Genomic DNA, 21,472 nt, shown 5'->3' with positions numbered 1-21,472 from the left:
GAAACTTGCTATCTAAAGGATTGCTACAATTCATCTTTTTATTAAAGCAAAAATTGCTCTTTTAAAACCAGATTATCACTTCCTTATCTGGCTGTTCCTGCTATGTTGAAGGTATGAGGTTTTATATATTTGGTTGTCTTAAAACAGCAGATAGCATAATACTGCCATTTCAAAGGATGGCTTCCAGGTTCCAAAGTGTTCTGGTCATGGACACCTTCTCCTAGTCTGGACTGTGGATATCTAGAGATGCTTTTAACTGATACATATTATTCTAGAACTAAAGAGACCCTCTACTGACTGTTTTGTTCTGTTTATTTCTCTAGGTTGATGGGAATGTGAGTACCATTTATTGTCAAAACCTGTGTCTTTTGGCAAAGTTGTTTCTTGACCACAAAACCCTCTATTACGATGTGGAGCCATTTCTTTTTTATGTACTAACACAGAATGATGTCAAGGGCTGCCACCTTGTTGGCTACTTTTCTAAGGTAAGTATGTCAGCTTAAAGTTTGTTTGAACTCATATAGAAATCTGAAAGAATCTTTGCTGGTTCTCACTCGGGGACACAACAAGATGCAGCACCTCCTAGGTGTCATCTAGCTGTTTGGAAAGAATAGAAGGAACATTTGGAAACTTACCAGGTGCTAGAAGGTGCTTAGTAACATTCAACAACCTATATTCTCCTAGGATTATGGACTGCTGGCAATACTCACGGGGAAGGTTTTAAATGGCTTCTCTTCCCATGGTAATAACATGGAACTTCTGAAATAAACAGTCATTAGCTCTCTGAGTTCTGTCTCAGCTTCAATCTTCTCTTCCTTATTTGAACTTTAGGCATAGAAATAAGAGTAAGAAGGCATTTTGGTTAAAGGATATTTTCTCCTTTTTTAATCTTCCATTCCCTTAGAGGGAGAAAGTTTATTTCTAGTCAGAGAACATAAAAGATATACTTTTATTTAAGCAAGCCTGTGGTAAAATCCAAGTGTATAAAACAGTTAGGGGAAGTACTAGCTTTTTATAAGCATTTATAAGAATTCTTTAGGCTACTTCATTAGTTAGATGTGACTTAAAATATATTCACTCATTTATAAAATTATAAAAGTGACTATTTTGTGTAAAGTTAGATACAACTAATAGGACTGCTCTGAGGAGCACCAGAGCAGGAGAGAAAGAAAACTCTGACATAATTAATGAGTCTTCTCACTTCTAGAGTGGCACACTGATTCATCATTTGTAGCTTTACGGATTGTTTGGGACTCAGATTCCGGTGCTGATCCTTAGGCATTGGCGTACTGTGTTTGAGTTGCAGATGGTGTTGGATGGCATTGTTTTGTTATATATTTTTACTCTCCTGGGATGGTTGCTTTGTGGGTAATGGCAGTGACTTGACATTATCCTATCTTCTCCCAGCTGGGTAGTTGTTTGTTGATGTACGTTGCTATTCCCAAAGGACCAGGGCTGTGGGTTTTGGCCATTAGTCTTTGTTTCTTAATTCACGTTATTATTCACTTTTACCAGCCTGTTTTCAAACTTGACTTGTGTTTTCTCCACCAGGAAAAGCACTGCCAACAGAAGTACAATGTTTCCTGTATAATGATTCTTCCTCAATACCAGCGTAAGGGCTATGGCAGGTTTCTCATCGATTTCAGTAAGGATTATATTAATTTCTCATTGGTCTTTTCCAGTGGACCTTCTCTGTGTGTGTGTGTGTGTGTGTGTGTGTGTGTGTGTGTGTGTGTGTGTGTATATATATATATTTAAAGATTTGTAGGTGCTTTGTTGGCTGCTAGTATCTTTTGTCATATAGCTATATGATTCTTTAAAACCTAAAGCCACTGCTGGACACTGTGGCTCATACCTCTAATCCCAGCACTTTGGGAAACTGGGGTGGGAGGATTGCTTGAGCCCAGTAGTTCAAGACCAGCTTAGGCAACATGGCAAGACCCTGTCTCTACAAAAAATTTAAAAAGTTAGGTGGGCATGATGGCATGTACCTAGGGTTCCACCTACTCAGGAAGCAGAGGTGAGAGGATCACTTGAGTGCCCAGGAGGTTGAAGCTGCAGTGAGCAATGCTACCCCTGCATTGCAGGCCCTAGCCTGGGCCACAGAGCAAGACTCTGTCTCAAAATAAAAATGGAAATAAATAAAACCTAAAGCCACACGTTCCTTTTATTTTGGTTGGACACGAATTTTTTTTTTTTTTTTTGAGAGACAGAGTCTCGCTCTGTCACCCAGGCTGGAGTGCAGTGGCGTGATCTCGGCTCACTGCAAGCTCTGCCTCCTGGGTTCAGGCTATTCTTCTGCCTCAGCCTCCCGAGTAGCTGGGACTACAGGCACCAGCCACCACAACCCGGCTAATTTTTTTGTATTTTTACTAGAGACGGGGTTTTACCGTGTTAGCCAGGATGGTCTCGATCTCCTGACCTCGTGATCCACCCGCCTTGGCCTCCCAAAGTACTGGGATTACAGGCGTGAGCCACCATGCGTGGCCTTGGACACGAAATATTTTTAAACAGCTAATATTGAATAAAATTTTGTGTGATGTGTAGCACATACCTTTAATTTCCTATTGTTCATTTACAATGGAACTCAGTTTCATGCAGTAATACTAATAATACTAAAAACATTGTATAACTACTTCAATTAGAGCTAATAAGGAAGTACTGTGGGCCGGGTGTGGTGGCTCACTCCTGTAATCCCAACACTTTGGGAGGCCAAAGTGGGCAGATCATGAGGTCGGGAGTTTGAGACCAGCCTGCCCAACATGGTGAAACCTCGTCTCTACTAAAAATACAAAAAATTAGCTGGGTGTGGTGGTGGGCGCCTGTAATCCCAGCTACTTGGGAGGCTGAGGCAGAAGAATTGCTTGAACCCGGGAGGTGGAGGTTTCAGTGAGCCAAGATCACGCCACTGCACTCTAGCCTGGGTGACGAGCAAAACTCCATCTCAAAAAAAAAAAAAAAAGTACTATACCTGCCGTATTTTTGTTATCCAGTTATCTGAGAAAATGTGTGCATTTTTTTTAGTTAGGCTCTACCTAGTGGTTAAACATCTGCAACACATCTTTAAATATCTGAAGAAGTGAATGATAGAGAAAATTGTTTAATCTGAGTTCAAAAGTGATAGCTCACAGTTCTAAAGAGATCATTGTGGGATCTGTGTAATTTGAGGGAATATTTTACCTCAGATATTGCTATACAATGATATTTAGATGAATATATGCAGAACTAATGGTTCAAACAAAGGATTTTGATTCTAGTCTTGAGATGTTAATTAAGCCTTCTCTTAGCTTTAGACTGTCCTTCTGTCCATATTTTATTGGAAGCTTGTGCTACTGGTTGTTTTACACATTTTCTGGTCTTTTTAGATGAGCAGTAGGGGATGGAACTCAGATTACTTCCTTTAATGTTAATATATTGTTTTGAAATAGGACTCATGATTAGACATGTTATATATGCCATTAAATTGCAAAGTTAGGGAAAATATTTTACTTTTGGTGATTGGGGGTGTGTGTGTATGGTATACAAACAGTCCGTGCAATAACAGTATTGTTTGTATTTACTTTTCCTAATGTAATACGTTTCCAAATTAACATTCTTAGACTGCTTTTATGTTTTCTTTAATGACAGTAAAAATACCTTTCTCTGCCATCTCCATTTTCGTTGCTTTTCCTTAGAAGTTAGGCCTTTGTTTTTCAGTTCTTGAGAGTTGTGCACTATAGAGGACAGAGTCCACAGTTCCACACTTATATTGGCAGTCCTGCTTGCCTAGAGTTAGAATGATAGGTAATTGTGAGGAGTTTTGGTTGAAGTGAAAGATTGTCATCTAATTCACTGACAGAACTACAATTTTAATAGGATTATGTGAAAATGAAGGCATTCTTTTGTACTTCTCAGTTCAGATACAGCAGTTGCCATCTAGTGGTCCAAATAAAGCATGCAAGGCTTGTTTTCCCCAGGACGTTGAACGAAACTGTTAACAGTCCTGATTTTTAACACTTCGAATATTTTAACAAGGTGATTGATATTAACTGTAGACATAATAATACTAACTTAGTCTTCAATATATATAAATTATGTATTCTTTCTGCAGATTTGTTTTGAAGTAGTTTTGCAATTTGTTTCTCTCTTTTTTTTTTTGGAAGGAATTTACCTTTGGAGTTATTCTTGGTTGTAGAAGAGGGGATTGTTATTTTGGTGAATCCAGTTTTTCAGAGTTGCTGACCTAGTTCTGATTTGAGTTATTTGTGATTCTTTAGGTTATTTGTTATCAAAGCGTGAAGGCCAAGCAGGGTCTCCAGAGAAACCGTTATCTGATCTGGGTCGTCTTTCCTACATGGCATATTGGAAAAGTGTAATATTGGAGTGCCTTTATCACCAAAATGACAAGCAGATCAGCATTAAGAAGTTAAGCAAGTTGACTGGAATCTGCCCTCAAGACATCACTTCCACACTCCACCACCTACGAATGCTGGACTTCCGTAGTGACCAGTGAGTATCACATCTTTTTGTATACCTTTGAAAGATAATTAGGTTGAAGTTTTTTGGATCAGCCAGTCAGATTATTGATGAAAGGGCATTAACTAATATAAATGATATACTTGGTGATAATGAGATATCATTTTCCTTTCTAGGATATTTTATTTGATTGACTATATATATGGTCTATATATAGTCTATATATATGCTTTTTAAACTGAATTGTTTTTCTGATACCCCTAATTTTTGGACCTAAGCTACTGAATCTTTCATCTTCTAGTATTGGGAGCTCTTTCACAATACAAGAAGTAACCACTCTAGAAACAGTCATTAAATAAAATGCCCATGTTAAATTTTCATATAAATGGCACAAAGTAAATATAGATTGAAAGGAAGAACAGACAGTTCACCCTTCACTAAAGTGGTCAGAAAAAGGTCACAAAGAAAGGAGGCATTTGAGCCAAATAAATGGAGAATAGGAAAGAGAGTGCAGAAGAGCAGCAGAACTTCTGGAGCGGGACGTGTGAGACAGCAGGCAGTGAAAACAGCCCGCGGCCACGGTAGAGAGCGAAGCATTTGTCCTGCTTCACACTCCTGGCCGTCTCATGTGGTGGCACATTTCTGCATTCCATCGTCCCAGGCAGGCTATCTTTGCAGCACCTATCATCTTACATGCTTCACCAGGGGTCTCATCTCCACATTCATTTTTATGTACACCTTGTACATTGTTGATTGCTATAAACTTTTCTCTGGTTCCAGATTTGTGATTATCCGCCGGGAAAAACTTATCCAGGATCACATGGCAAAGCTTCAGCTGAATTTGCGACCTGTAGATGTAGATCCAGAATGTTTGCGCTGGACTCCAGTCATAGTGTCCAACTCTGTGGTCTCAGAGGAGGAAGAAGAGGAGGCTGAGGAAGGAGAAAACGAAGAGCCACAGTGCCAGGAAAGAGAATTAGAGATCAGTGTAAGGGCATGAATAGTCTCTATTTTTGATGACAGAAGATATATTTTTGATTTCATGAGTATTTATAATAATGTATTATGATCATCTTTCACAGAAAAGTAAATTCACATTAGAATGTCAAGAGTTTTATTTCAGTGGTAGAGATTTCAAGAAGACTGGACCTGGTTTACTTAAGTATTTTTAAGCCTTGGACAATTAGGAGGAGACCATCAAATTTCTTATAATGTGTTACTTGTGAGAAAAATATTTGTTACCAGGGTGCCAAGAAGCAGCTCAGTTTTAAGCTGGATAGTAGTTGAGAAATCTGAATTGAATCCAAATCTGACAGTTTTTAAAAATGAAATGGAGGTTGGGTGTGGTGTTTCATGCCTGTAATCTCAGCGCTTTAGGAGGCCCAGGCGGGAGGATTGCTTGAGATTAGGAGTTCAGGACAACCAGGGAAATATAGTGAGACCCCATCTCTACAAAAAAAACCCAACAACAAAATGAAATGGAGATACATTTTCCTTAAATAGAATATTAAGTAACTATTGTAAACTTGTGTATGTTTTCTGATGGGGCACCAAAACATCCTGTGGACACACAGATCTCTTTAGCCGTTAAAGGGTTGCTGGTGAACTGTAGTGCATGTGTCATTGTCAGTATTTTTCTTCATGTGATGCATACTTTTATAGCTCTTTTTTTTAAGCAGTGCTTCATCCTTTCAACACCGGTATCCTCCTTTAATAAACATAAAAAATCCCATGCCTCTCTTTAGTGCAGTTTAATTTTTCAAAATGAAATTATTCAGAATAAAAGTAAATTTAAAAACTACATAAACTTTCTTTCATATTTCTCAAATGCCTCCTTCCTCTTGCCCATGTCTCAAGATCCTGTCTCCTCCACCCTGTTTACAAATTTTTATTTCTGAGAAATTTTATTAAACAATCTCATTTAACATTTAAAAGAACAATAGTATTCACTTTGCTTATTGAGGGTGGTACTGCAGAAAGATTCAGAACATAGGCTCTGGAGTCAGACTGCCAGGCTTTCTATCCCAGCATCTTCTCTTGCTCTTGCGTGACCTGGGGCAGATTACTTAAATTTTTTTCTACCCCACATGCCTCATTTGTAAAGTGGAGTTGTAGTGGTAATACTTCATATGATTGTTGGGGAGATTAAATAAATAATGCATATACAGAATTTAAAGCAGTGCTGAAACAGGAAATATCCATGTTAAATAACTGATCATTTTCTTTTTAAAGCTCAGTTTCCTTTTCTTCTCTCAATACTTAAAAGGTCAGAATAGGTAAATGTAAGCAAACAAGACTGAAAAATTAACCAGCATTGTTTTATTTTCTAAAATCAGGTGGGAAAGTCTGTGTCTCATGAGAACAAAGAACAAGATTCTTATTCAGTAGAAAGTGAAAAGAAACCAGAAGTTATGGCTCCAGTCAGTTCTACACGTTTGAGCAAACAAGTCCTTCCTCATGATAGTCTTCCTGCAAATAGCCAGCCATCTCGGAGGGGCCGCTGGGGGAGGAAGAACAGAAAAACCCAGGAACGTTTTGGTGATAAAGATTCTAAACTGCTCTTGGAAGAGACGTCTTCAGCTCCTCAGGAACAATATGGAGAATGTGGGGAGAAATCAGAAGCCACCCAGGAACAATACACTGAAAGTGAAGAACAGCTGGTGGCTTCTGAGGAGCAGCCAAGCCAGGACGGGAAACCTGACCTTCCCAAGAGAAGACTCAGTGAGGGGGTTGAGCCCTGGCGAGGACAGCTCAAGAAAAGCCCTGAGGCTCTGAAGTGCAGATTAACAGAAGGAAGTGAGAGGCTGCCCCGTCGCTACAGTGAGGGTGACAGGGCTGTCCTCAGGGGCTTCAGTGAGAGCAGCGAGGAGGAGGAGGAGCCGGAAAGCCCTCGGTCAAGCTCGCCACCAATTCTCACAAAGCCCACGCTGAAGCGAAAGGTAACGCATTTCTTTCCAGGTCTTCTCTTCCTCCAATTCCAGTTTATCTTACACCTTCTCGTTTTAGCTTACAGTTCTGAAAGAGTATAAGTTAGAAATTCCTAGTGCATTGCTTTATAAACCTTAAGCCTCTGTATATTGTAGCTCAAGATCTTCCCAGTGAACATTTGAGATGTGTGTGTGTGTTTGACTTCTTTGATTCATGGGAATTCACTTAGAAATCATAAGCTTATTTAAGGGCTTCACCTCCTGGGATGCAAACAAACTTTTTTTTAGCTTACTGGTTTGATGTTCAAATCATGACTTTTAGGGGCTTAAAGCCCTAAAATATCTTTAAAAGATATTTTTAAAGTATGTACAGATTAGAAGTGTTTATATTAGAAAAGGAGGCCAAAATATTACATAATTAATTGGAAAGTGAACATAGTGCTGCCCTATATTTTGGGGTACTCAGAGTACAGTAGCTCATCTTGGGTGCTATTGTTTTCTCTCTACTCTCCCCACTTCTCACACATCCCTCCAGTGGTTTAACGTGGTCTCTCTTGCTTTAAAAATATTTTCTAAACTATATTCCATCATAATGATAGCCAATTAGTTATTAAATAATGTACAATGATGATAATGAATTCTGTTAAGCCGTTTACCAGAAACATCCCAGGCTATGGAGTGGATTTTAAGCATTGCCAGGAGGCAGCCAGACTGAAGCGAGGCTGCTCCCTGGAAGAGCCACTCAGCCAGCTTCCAGCCAAAGCAGCACAATCGTTCCTTTCCTTACAGGGTCTTAAAAAGCAAGACAGGATCTTTTGTTTTGTTTTGTTTTGTTTTAAGAATAATATCTTCAGAGCAGTTTTACATTTACAGAATTAATGCAAAGAAAGTACAGAGAGTTCTCGCATACCCCAGCCAGTTTCCTCTATTATTAATCCCTTGCGTTGGTGTGGTACATCTATCACAGTTACTGAACCAGTGTAGATACATCAGTAACTAGAGTTCATACTTTATTCAGATTTCCATAGTTTTCCCTAACGTCCTTTTTCTGTTCCAGGATCCCACCCAGCATATCGCATTACATTTAGTAGTCATGTGTCTTTAGGTTCCTCTTGGCTGTGGTAGTTTCTCAGAATTTCCTTAGTTTCGATGGCCTTCATAGTTTTGAGAATGACTGGTCAGGTATTTTGTAGATGATCCCTCATGATATTAGAATGGGGTAATATATTCTTGAGAGGAAGACCATAGAGGTAAAGTGCCATTCTCATCACATAATTAAAGGGTACCTGTTGGCATATATCTATCAGTATGTATAGGGAAGCTGGGCATAGTGGTCACTCTTGTAATCCTAGCTACTTGGGAGGCTGAGGCGGGAGGATCACTTGAGCTGGAGGCTGTAGTGCACAATGATTGTACCTGTAAATAGCCACTGTAGTCCAACCTGCGTGACATAGCAAGACTCCGTCTGTAAAAATAAAAAGAAGCAAGTATCAAATATAAGGGTATTATCAATTTGATTTTTCCCTATTGAAGTTAACTTTGATGACCTGGCTTAAGATATTGTTTGTCAGGTTTCTACTTTTCTTTTCCCTTTACTGGAAGGAAGTCACTGTGCATAGCCACACTTAAGATTTCTACCCCCTCAGAGTGGAGGCTCAGCATAAATTATTTGAATTTCTGCTTGGGAGATTTGTCCTTTCTCCCTCATCTGTTTATTTATCCAAGCATTTATTTATATCATTATTGGCCCAGATATTTACGTGATACTTCACTTTATAATCCAATACTACTGCTTTTTAAAATTTGTTGCTCAGATTGTTCCAGTTTTGACCATTAGAAGCTCCTTCTTTTAGTTTCCCTCTTGGGCTGCTGCTGCTTTTTTTTTTTTTTTTTTTTTTTCCTTCCCCAGATGGGGTCTTACTCTGTCACCTAGGCTGGAGTGCAGCGGCATGATCTCAGCTCACTGCAACCTCCACCTCCTGGGATGCAAGCAACGCTCCCACCTCAGCCTCTTGAATAACTTGGACTACAGGCATGTTCCATCACGCCTGGCTAATTTTTTGTACTTTTGATAGAGACAGGGTTTCGCTATGTTGCTCAGGCTGGTCTTGAACTCCTGAGCTTGGGCGGTCCACCTGCCTTGGCCTCCAAGGTGCTGGGATTACAGGTGTGAGCCACCGCGCCTGGCCTCCTGTGTTTAACATATATACTGTTGTTGTCATTGTGGGGTCTTTTTGTTTGTTTTTAAGCATTTCCTTTCTGGCACTACAAGATGCTTCAAGTTCATCTTGTATATTTCATGCCCTTGTCCTAGAATCAGCCTTTTCTCCAAGGACCAGGGCCATTTTTAATCTAATTTGAAAATTACATTCTCGATTGGGACTATTAAGTTTGAAGTAGAGAAAAATTGAACATTGACTAACTGCTGTTCATTGCATGATCATGAAGAATAGATCTTTGTCATCCTAGCACTTGTATTGCCAATTTATGAAGTAAAACAAATCATGTTAAAAAAAGAAAAAGAACAGGCAGTAAGCTCACATGCAAAGTAATTTTGAAGTTAATGAATAAATGCTTTGACTGGATGTGTGAACTTAAGCAAGTCCTATACCCTCTCTGACATCTATAGAATGAAGGGATTGGATTAGATAATCTCTGGGGCATCATCTCTTATTTTGTGATATTAGTTGTATAATTTTAGCTATTTGGTCAGTCCAGTGCAAAGTTGTGCTCAGTGTGCCCAAATTTCAGTAACAGATTTATTTTACTTTTGAAATATTTCACTAACACTGAGTAAATACATTTCAGCCCCATATTTCTACATTCCACAGCTTTTTATGAGTAGTTCATGAAAATGGCATACAACTTTACTGATAGTTCTGCAAACCTTCACAGTAGTGCTATAAGACAAAGTGTTTTTATTTCTCTTTTGCTCTTAAGTTGGAAAAGTTAAGGGATTAGCCTCTGGGTCAGTTCAGTATTAAAACAGGGCAACTCTCTAGGGTGCTAAATTTAACTGAACTATTAAGAGAATTATAATGTCTGCTATTTGGAGATGGCTGCCTATTCTTTTACAAAGTTGTGTTCAATTGCCTAATACCTTTGTATTTATAATAAGTGTATTATCTTACTATAGTATTTTGAAATAATATTCAAAATATTTTTTGGCAAACAACATCCTCATTTTATATGTGCTAATTCTATTTGGTTTTAAAACTGTTTTCGTATTATTAATAGAAAAGATAGTGTTCATAACTGTAAATACTTGCTTTCTCTATTAAACAGAAACCATTTCTCCACCGAAGGAGGAGAGTCCGAAAGCGCAAACACCACAATAGCAGTGTAGTCACAGAAACTATTTCTGAGACCACTGAAGTGTTAGATGAACCTTTTGAAGATTCTGACTCCGAGAGGCCAATGCCAAGATTAGAACCCACGTTTGAGATCGATGAAGAAGAGGAGGAAGAGGATGAAAATGAACTTTTCCCTAGAGAATACTTCCGTCGTTTGTCTTCGCAGGATGTACTCAGGTGTCAGTCCTCTTCTAAGAGGAAGTCTAAAGATGAAGAAGAAGATGAAGAGTCAGATGATGCTGATGGTATGTTTTACAGAACTCACTTACTGTGGTTTATTGTCTTCAGATATATAGCAGTAGCAGTGACAGACCCTTCAGTAAAAAGGCTGAAAAATGAACACAACCCACTAAGCAAGAAAAGGAACGTTTGGCAATCTCTAAAAAGTTGTATCAAGTATATCCATCTTGATTTTTAAATGTGTTTTCCCTTCAACTCAGAACCTCTATTAATTTGCCTCTGCAGAAAATATCTTACTATTAGGCAACTGTTCTTTTTTGCCCAATCCTTTCTAAGCCTTTATCAGAATCTTTAGTTAATGGGAGAGTTGGACTTAGCATCAGGAAGATGTAATAACCCTTCACTAGAATGTGCATTCTCTAGACTTAGTCTGTTTTGCTCATTGCTGTATGCTGAGTGCTTAAGCCCGGCGCTCAGTAAGTAGTGTTAAATGAGTGAATGCTAAGAAGACAATTCTCCAGAAAGAGCAGATTCATGTAAATTGGAACTTGTGTCACATCTGTTCAGGAGTCTTTCCTGAATTGTATCTCTAATGTGTCTTACCCAACTAGTAGTAAATTTCTCACAAATGGTAACAATAACTCAAAATAAATTTTATAGTATAGATACAAATCCAACTATTTACTTTTAAAGCAGCCTAGTTGTCATTTCTTCTCTAGAGACACTGAAACTAGGTCTCATATATATGAGCCAGGTCAGAAACAAGTCTTTTTCACCCTAGCCTAAAGTTTTGCCAGTGTCTCATGCTGCCTGCATCTGCAGTGTGTTTATCTCGCATGGGCTCAGAATGAGCATTTTTACTTTGTTGGGCAAATTTGAAGAAATCTACTTGTCCAGTCTTGGTACATAAACCTTTAGCTTTTATGCATTAACTGGTTGAACTTTTTAATTCTTTTAAAAATTCAGTCAGTTTCAAGTCTAGAAGATAAACTTACATTTTCTCCATTCTCATATTTTCTATATAACAAATACTTTTTTATTTTTTATTTTTTATTTTTTTGAGATGGAGTCTCCCTCTGTCACCCAGGTGGGAGTGCAGTGGCACAGTCTCAGCTCACTGCAACCTCCACCTCCGGGTTCAAGCGATTCTCGTGCCTCAGCATCCCAAGTAGTTGGGATTATAGGTGCACGCCACCATGCCTGGCTAATTTTTGTATTTTTAGTAGAGACGGGGTTTCACCATGTTGGCCAGGCTGGTCTCAAACTCCTGACCTCAAGTGATCCACCCGCCTTGGACTCCCAAAGTGCTGGGATTACAGGTGTGAGCCACCCTGCCTGGCCAACAAATACTTTTAATATAGTGATAAGATGAATGTGTTCTTTGCTCTATCATGAATGATTCTACAGAGTTTAACTTGCTATGTTTTGAAATAACATAACTAGGAAACTAAAAATTTATTTTGTAAATTTAGCACTTTATATTCTGTCTTAGATCATTGTACACTAAAATAGTACCCCTGATTAAGTTCCCATGGACTTAGATTTTTGCTGATGCAGCCATTTCCTTTGTTGACTTTCAAGTTACTACTACTAACTGTGCCTTTTTAGCCGTGCCCCCACTGCATCATGTTCTTGTCTTGGTATTCTTATTCTTTAAAAATTAATAGGCAATGTGAGTGTACTTAATGCCACTGAACTTAACACTTATAAATGGTTAAAATTTTAAGTTTTATGTTACGTATAGTTTACCATAGTTTTTTTAAAATGCTAATAATATAAAATTTATTTCTAATGAATGTAATTGGTGCTTTAATTTTTTCTTGTTTGTCTAAGTCTAAATGTCAGTTTTTGTCTAGGACTAAATAAATGCTTTGCAGCTATTCCCATACAAACACAACATTAATTGAACAACTGTTCACATACGATGGCTCAGTCATGGCCTAGAGTAATTGGCTCATCATACTACCTGAAGTGATGATTTGTGGAAAGTAAGAAAATCCGAGAGATAAAGTAAATCACAAGCAGAAAAAAAAAGAGGAAATAAGCTAATTTGTAACTTTTAGTAGAGACAACTTGATAAAAGTACTGCTTACTACTTATTTGCCTCTTTATAAAGTTCATCTCCATTTTACAGATGATGAAACTGAAATGTAGAGTAACTTCCCACAGACATGCAGCTGATGATGGTAGTCTTGAATTGGTTCTGACTAGTGTCTGATAACATAATGTTGACCAGGATTCTTTCATAGTTCTGCCAATTCACTGTGTGACTTAGAATATGTCACTAATTAGTTTTATCCTCTAGGTTCTTAACTTTAAAATGAAGACAATCAGGAGTTTATAAAAGTAATGATTAATAAAGTCATTTCTATTGTATATGCTAGTCTTGGAAGAAGGAACTAGAAAATGTAAGACCTTGTAACCTGTCTTTGTTTTTTTTCCTTCCTGTATAGACACTCCTATCTTAAAGCCAGTATCTCTTTTGCGAAAACGTGATGTGAAGAATTCTCCTCTTGAGCCAGATACATCCACACCTTTGAAAAAGAAAAAGGGATGGCCCAAAGGCAAGAGCCGCAAACCAATCCACTGGAAGAAAAGACCTGGTCGAAAACCAGGATTTAAGTTGAGTCGGGAAATCATGCCAGTTTCTACTCAAGCATGCGTCATTGAGCCCATCGTTTCCATTCCTAAAGCTGGACGTAAACCCAAGATCCAGGAGAGTGAAGAAACTGTTGAGCCAAAAGAAGACATGCCCCTACCCGAGGAGAGGAAGGAGGAGGAGGAGATGCAAGCAGAGGCAGAAGAGGCTGAAGAGGGTGAGGAAGAGGATGCAGCCAGCAGTGAAGTCCCAGCAGCCTCTCCAGCAGACAGCAGCAATAGTCCTGAGACCGAAACCAAGGAGCCTGAGGTGGAGGAGGAAGAAGAGAAGCCCCGTGTCTCAGAGGAGCAGAGGCAGTCAGAGGAGGAGCAGCAGGAATTAGAGGAGCCAGAGCCAGAGGAGGAGGAAGATGCAGCTGCAGAGACTGCCCAGAATGACGACCACGACGCTGATGATGAGGATGATGGCCACCTGGAGTCCACAAAGAAAAAGGAGCTAGAGGAACAGCCCACGAGGGAAGATGTCAAGGAGGAGCCTGGTGTTCAAGAGTCTTTTTTAGATGCTAATATGCAGAAGAGTAGGGAAAAGATAAAGGATAAAGAGGAAACCGAGCTGGATTCCGAAGAGGAGCAGCCTTCCCATGACACGTCCGTGGTGTCAGAGCAGATGGCTGGGTCTGAGGACGACCACGAAGAAGACTCCCACACTAAGGAAGAGTTAATCGAATTAAAAGAGGAGGAAGAGATTCCTCATAGTGAGCTGGATCTGGAAACTGTACAGGCAGTGCAGTCTTTGACTCAAGAAGAAAGCAGTGAGCATGAGGGCGCCTACCAGGACTGTGAGGAAACTCTTGCGGCGTGTCAGACCCTGCAGAGTTACACCCAGGCTGACGAGGACCCTCAGATGTCCATGGTTGAAGACTGTCATGCGTCAGAACATAATAGCCCTATCTCCTCCGTTCAGTCTCACCCCAGCCAGTCAGTCCGTTCGGTCAGCAGTCCCAACGTGCCTGCCCTTGAGAGTGGCTACACCCAGATCAGCCCAGAACAAGGATCCCTGTCCGCACCCTCTATGCAGAACATGGAGACCAGCCCCATGATGGATGTGCCTTCCGTATCAGACCACTCTCAGCAGGTGGTGGACAGCGGCTTCAGTGACCTGGGCAGCATTGAGAGCACCACTGAAAACTATGAGAACCCAAGCAGTTACGACTCCACGATGGGCGGCAGCATCTGTGGGAACAGCTCTTCCCAGAGCAGCTGCTCCTACGGTGGGCTGTCGTCCTCCAGCAGCCTCACCCAGAGCAGCTGTGTGGTCACTCAGCAGATGGCCAGCATGGGCAGCAGCTGCAGCATGATGCAGCAGAGCAGCGTCCAGCCTGCTGCCAACTGCAGCATCAAGTCACCTCAGAGCTGCGTGGTGGAGAGGCCTCCCAGTAACCAGCAGCAGCAGCCGCCACCACCGCCTCCACAGCAGCCACAGCCGCCGCCGCCACAACCACAACCAGCACCACAGCCTCCACCACCCCAGCAGCAGCCGCAACAGCAGCCGCAGCCTCAGCCCCAGCAGCCTCCACCCCCACCCCCTCCCCAGCAGCAGCCCCCGCTGTCACAGTGTAGTATGAATAACAGTTTCACCCCAGCTCCTATGATCATGGAGATACCAGAATCTGGAAGCACTGGGAACATAAGTATCTATGAGAGGATTCCAGGGGATTTTGGTGCCGGCAGCTACTCTCAACCATCAGCCACCTTCAGCCTAGCCAAGCTGCAGCAGCTGACCAACACCATTATGGACCCTCATGCCATGCCTTATAGCCATTCTCCTGCTGTGACTTCCTATGCAACCAGTGTTTCTCTGTCCAATACAGGACTGGCTCAGCTGGCTCCATCTCATCCCTTAGCTGGGACTCCTCAAGCACAAGCCACCATGACGCCACCCCCAAACTTGGCATCCACTACCATGAACCTCACATCTCCTCTGCTTCAGTGCAACATGTCTGCCACCAACATTGGCATTCCTCACACGCAGAGATTGCAAGGGCAAATGCCAGTGAAGGGGCACATTTCCATCCGCTCCAAGTCTGCGCCACTGCCCTCTGCGGCTGCTCACCAGCAGCAGCTGTATGGCCGTAGCCCATCGGCAGTTGCCATGCAGGCTGGCCCTCGCGCACTGGCTGTTCAGCGTGGCATGAACATGGGGGTTAATCTGATGCCTACTCCCGCCTATAATGTCAATTCCATGAATATGAACACCTTGAATGCCATGAACAGCTATCGAATGACACAGCCCATGATGAACAGCAGTTACCATAGTAACCCTGCCTACATGAACCAGACAGCACAGTATCCTATGCAGATGCAGATGGGAATGATGGGGAGCCAGGCCTATACCCAGCAGCCTATGCAGCCTAACCCTCATGGGAACATGATGTACACAGGCCCCTCCCATCACAGCTACATGAACGCTGCTGGCGTGCCCAAGCAGTCACTCAACGGACCTTACATGAGAAGATGAGCAAGATGAACTTGCAATCAAAAACTTAAATATATATAAATAAAGGAACCTTTTATACTGACAAACCAGAGAAAAATGGACCTTTTTCCAGTTAAAATATTGCTGTAGATTTAGAGGAATTTTTCTTTGGTTTATTTTATTTTTTAGAAAACCTGATCTTCTCTTTTTTTGGGTTCATTTTGTTCTGGGTTTTGGTTTTCTTCACAATCTTGAACATTTTACAGTAGAACTCATCTAAAAATGGATTTGGGGATGGGGAAACATGCACAAAATCTTTTCATAATTAAAAAGAGCCTTACTTTCTTTACATACCACATGGACAGAATTTGTGTAAAAGTGAATTATCTTTATTTTAAAATGTATGTTTCCCCTCACTGTTTGCAGCTCCCAATGTTGTCATTTTTAAATGTTATATACATCTCAAGGGTTAACCAGACCCTTTCCTCCAAACCCAACCTTTCATTTCCTACTTCATTCCAGCAGGAGGCACTTAGGGGAGACTCGGATGGGGACATGGAGAACAACCCAAGCTCCTTAAACTTATTATTATTGTTAATATTATTATTATTATTATTAATAAAGTGAGGCAGGAAAATGCTTCTCCTTTTAAAATCCCCTCCACTCCTCACACACACACACCTCTTGAAACCCTTCCCCAAGAATGTTTCTTTATAGACGGACTTCATTGAAATCTTTGTTGTTCTTGAATCAAGTGTAATATAATTTTTTTCTTCTTTTTTAAAATATTCCCACTCAGCACTCAGAGACACAAAAATACTGTAAGTCTCAATTAACAGCAGAATCTCAGAGAAAAGCTGTTTGCAATCCAAATCCAGCCTTTGGAGGAATAGAGATGGTCAATTAACAATCAAAAAGAGGAGATTAACCTCTTGTTTTTTTACCACCTGGTGAATCAGCCATAACGCACACACACGCCACCCAGCCTCTTGTTTCTAGTATGTACTTTGAAATGCTAACTGAGGGTCTTGATGCTTGAGCCTTTGACTGATAAAACTCAAATAGCAGTCCCCAGTGATTTGCCTCTTAGGTTCTTTCTTAAATTGTTGGTGGATGACTGTACATTTTAGTGATTTGAAAAATAACTGACAAACCATTGAAACAGTTTATTTTATGTTGGAAGAGATGGCGCAGATGTGTGTCAGAAGGGAGATCACGGTGTGAGTTTCGTAGCTATTTAAGTGATACATACCTCTAGTTTTTGTATGTCTTTTGAGATCCTGAGTTCATCCCCTGTGAATCAGAGTGCACAAGCACCTCTCCTGTGAGTGGCTAATGAGAAGAGGGACAGACCGACCACCAGCACAGTAGGGCAGATCTGGACAGCAGAATGTTATAACGCAAGTTCATGTGTTGCTCCCAACTCCATTCTCTTTTCTCTCGTGCAACCAGTTTGCCCATTCTCTTCCTATTACTTGCTCCAGGGATAGGTAAAAAAAAAAAAAAAAAAAAAAAAAATATATATATATATATATACACACACACACACACACACACACACACATATATATATATATATATTCCATCATTAGAAGATGGAAACTATTATACCACTTGGTATGTGCAGTCAAATATCCAAAAGGGGGAAGTACTGCTTAGAGAAATATCTGTAAGCATTAAATTCTCTCCTTTATTTGTACATTTTATATAGATAAATTTTTAAAGTACTAATTAGGCATTAACTTTTTTCAAATGCACAGGTTTGTTGGTTTTTTTAATACACTTTAATTGACTTTCTCAAGCGTGCTAGGTAGAAACGCAGAATTCCACATCTTCCCGCTCTCAGCTCTGAGCATGTGCAAGGCTGTGTAGGACCCAGTTTCTCTGTATATACTATTCCAGTTCCCAGTCATCTATGTAGAAAGTGCACTGTGCTGCCATCGCCCTACATCTTCAGCTGTGTCATTGCTTCCTGGTTGGGGTGGGGACGGGGTGGGTCGGGAGGGAGGTATATTGGGAGGAGGGTGGGTCAAGGCAGAAGGAGAAGCTGTTGAAATGAGGGCCGTGAAATCAGTTTCTGTTGGTTTGCGGTTGTGTTTGGTTTTGTTTGTTTCTTTATAAAAAATTCAATCGGGCAGCTCCCTTTTCCACAAGCCTCTTTGTGACTGTAGAACTATTGTAGAAAAAAAAAGTTCTTTTCTATATTATAAAAGAAATTATCCAACACAGTAATATTGGTACCTGTCATTTTTTCACTTCTGTTTAAAAAAAATGTATTTTTAGCAAGATAACTTGGGTAATCTTCTAAAAAAGAAATTTAAAAACTCACTGTTAGTGACTTTGATGCCTTTTAAAATAAGAGCTTTTTCATTTCATTCCATCTTTAAAATTTTTTATCTTTGTTGTAGAATATTAAAAACTATTTTAAGAAAGATAAATTCTCTTTAAAGAGATCTCTAGCGTGTGTGAATAGAGCTCCAGATGCCTCTAAAAGCCGCATGTACAAAGGAAGCCACGTCTATCCTGTCTGTTTATATTTGCTTTTCCTGTTTTGTAACCTCTTTGTACTTTGTTCATGGTGACTTGTAAGCTAAGGGGAAGGGGTGCCTAGATGCCTTTGTATCTCTCCATGTCACGCGCTCCTGGGCCAGCCGGCCTCCCTTCCTCTCCTTGTATGTAATACCTTTTTTTCCCCTTTCTAGCAAGTACTTTCAAAAGAACTCTGTACATTTTAACATAAAAAATAAATTATGTTGAGCCATTTTGGATGTCTGTCTTGCATGTGGAATTTTTCTCCCTTCCCAGTATGTCAGAACTCTTCAATTCTTGTTCTACACCCAGAGACCTATAAACATTAGTCTTTTCATTTTCCTCTTTATTATAGGAGTACAAGTCCATGGCCTTTGCTTTGAAATTCCAGTTTTCATTTATGTCTGTGTTTAAATGCCAACAATATGGATGGGTTTTCCATTTCCAAGGAACATGGCACGGTAACCCTACTTTGGATTTTGTAGGGGCATTCATATAAAAACCTCCTAAAGGGATTTTAATTCCCGTCCCCCCCACTCCCCTAAAAAAAAGCAATTGCAATAACAAGTAGCTCCTAGACTTGTGATAAATGGGAGGAGTAATTTTTATAGATCTTATTTTATAATGTAACAGTATTTTTAAAAGCGTTGTGGGTTTTTTTTCATTTCATTTTACCTAATTGGGTAATCTAGGAAGATTCGTCATTCTCCTTTTGCCAGAATTCAAGGCCCTGAATGCTGATTACTTTTTGGTGGTCTCTTGGGTTGTGTTTGCCTCTCATCATTTAGAATTGTGGACAGGAGGCAGAGTCCAGAAAATTTGATTTCACTTTGGGAAATTGGCCTTAGTTTCTGGTGGTAGGCAGTGAGGCAGGTTCAAGTTTTAGCGGCCTCCACACTTCCTCTGCCCCTTCACACTGAGGAATTGAGGAACTGTACATGATACTACCTATAGCAGACATTTGTTCTGAATTTCATGCTGTTTAAAGTTTAGACAGTATAGTCATGTCATCTCAAAAGGAATGATGTATGTCCGTTGATTTCTTGGCTGGCTTATATAACCATTATTTGGACACAGGCTGTGTCACTGTGCTATGCAATTACTAGTGGATTGTCTTGAAAACATTCTTGCCTTTGCCACTGAAGAGTATTTGCTTTAAGTGATTTCAACATAAACCAATTATGTTTTTTCAATATAAGAGATAATGTGGCCAAAGACTATTCTAGACTTTCAAAAAACATACATAAATATATTTATATTGCATTTAAGTATTATTTGAATTATATAATCCCATGTATAGCCAAGGAACAAATGAGTTGTTCGGAGTAGGGGAGGTGCTCCTATTTCTTTGTTGTCTCTCCACCTCCTGCTGACAGTAGATTGGGGAGGATGACACACTCAATGTGTGTGATACTGAGAACCCTAGTCCACCAACCTGTCGTCGAACTTTCAGAAACTAGAGCACCAGGAATCACATTCTTTTAAAGCCTTTCTGGGCACTTTAGGTGGTGCCTGGCTTCCTTTGTAGCATGGTGACACCTGTATGAACTCCCTAAACACCAGTCTTGGCAGCCTCACAGTTCCAGCTCTTTAGGTGAAAATTATTATTTCAGATTATCCAAATCACAGCTCAGGCAGTGTGGTGATTTTCGTCATATTCCTTCCTCTAGTCTTTTCATAATGTACAAGATGTGGGTCAATGGTGATGGTAATTGAAAGGAATAGTGAAAGAAACAAAAAATGCTATCTTTGGCAGAACAGAGTATGCAGGATCCTTATGATGAGTGGTGGGGGAAAGGAGCTCTACTTATTGATGTGATATTCAAGAAACCTAAAAATTCAAATGAATGATTCCTGTAAACTCAAAATATCATTTAGAGTAACATTTTTAGTGTTGACAAGTGTCTGGAATTCTTTTTTTTTTTTTTTTTTTTTGAGATGGAGTCTCGCTCTTGTCGCCCAGGCTGGAGTGCAGTGGCACGATCTTGGCTCACTGCAAGCTCCGCCTCTCGGATTTATGCCATTCTGCCTCAGCCTCCCGAGTAGCTGGGACTACAGGCGCCCGCCGCCAGGCCCGGCTAATTTTTTGTGTTTTTAGTAGAGGCGGGATTTCACCATGTTAGCCAGGATGGTCTCAATCTCCTGACCTTGTAATTGCCTGCCTCGGCCTCCCAAAGTGCTAGGATTACAGGCATGAGCCACCATGCCTGGCCATGTCTGGAATTCTTGAGCATGGTCATCCAAGTAAAAGCCTACAGTCCCCAGAACAAAACCCAACCCATTTTTGTTAAAAAGTTTCTGTTAGTGGGCAGGATGGGTTTGTTAGGTAAATTGGTGTGGTTACGTAACACAACTTAGACCCATAGATTTTCTTTCCAGAGTGACAGCTACAGATTGGGCTTCATGGAGATTTTTAGCTATGTTAGTAAGGAGCCTACATACTGGTATACCAATTGCATAAGGCCTCAAAAAGGTGGCAGCTGTCATTTTTGCCTAAAATAAGGAAAGCCTGGGATATGATGGACTTTGGTTTTTGAGGTCTTTTAAGGCCCTGGACAGAGATAGTCATAGGGAATGTTTTCCTGTGGCTATTATGAACAAATTTTGTGAGTGTGAAATACACATTCTTGTTATTTCAAGGAAAAAATGTTCTAACATTTAACTTTTTACTAAATAGACATTTCTGAAAGTCACATTTAAGCCATTTCAAAAAAGAAGTAGTGAATGTGTTCTCTGGGATGGTGAGTTCATTTTTAACTGTTCTTAATTTATACATGCACAAAGATGAGCCAGCAAGGTAAACATGATGAACTGAGGTCAGCTGTTGCCTGTGCTTCAAGTGCACACCAACATTTCACTTTAGAGCTGGTGCATTTAATTGGAATTTCTATTAATATGCATTGAAAAATGGACATCTGCTTAATGTTGGAAGACATGAGCCATTCAAATCATCT

The 21,472-nt window shown here is 40.2% G+C and overlaps 1 protein-coding gene across 2 annotated transcripts in view, besides 1 other annotated feature; it reads left to right on the top strand.

The window, feature by feature from the left end:
* The window catches only part of KAT6A (lysine acetyltransferase 6A), a 122,509-nt gene extending 103,752 nt beyond the window's left edge, over positions 1-18,757 (top strand). The window contains exons 11-17 of one of the 2 annotated variants that reach the window (NM_006766.5): positions 324-485; positions 1,552-1,645; positions 4,257-4,488; positions 5,236-5,443; positions 6,792-7,394; positions 10,668-10,980; positions 13,369-18,757. In NM_006766.5, the coding sequence (NP_006757.2) occupies positions 324-485; positions 1,552-1,645; positions 4,257-4,488; positions 5,236-5,443; positions 6,792-7,394; positions 10,668-10,980; positions 13,369-16,031 (4,275 nt within the window). In that variant the 3' untranslated portion in view covers positions 16,032-18,757. Of the gene's footprint in view, positions 1-323; positions 486-1,551; positions 1,646-4,256; positions 4,489-5,235; positions 6,188-6,791; positions 7,395-10,667; positions 10,981-13,368 lie in introns of those variants that run through there. The other variant, NM_001305878.2, reaches the window with a different exon arrangement.
* Positions 16,871-17,165: a silencer, noted in NCBI's record as "tiled region #1046; HepG2 Repressive non-DNase unmatched - State 14:Gen5'". NCBI's record gives its function as "represses a minimal TATA promoter and a strong SV40 promoter by Sharpr-MPRA in HepG2 cells {active_cell/tissue: HepG2}" and the evidence as "EXISTENCE:reporter gene assay evidence [ECO:0000049][PMID:27701403]".

This window comes from Homo sapiens, chromosome 8, assembly GCF_000001405.40.
Source record: "Homo sapiens chromosome 8, GRCh38.p14 Primary Assembly".
NCBI lineage: Eukaryota > Metazoa > Chordata > Mammalia > Primates > Hominidae > Homo > Homo sapiens.
This window is presented reverse-complemented; position numbering and strand designations above follow the sequence as displayed.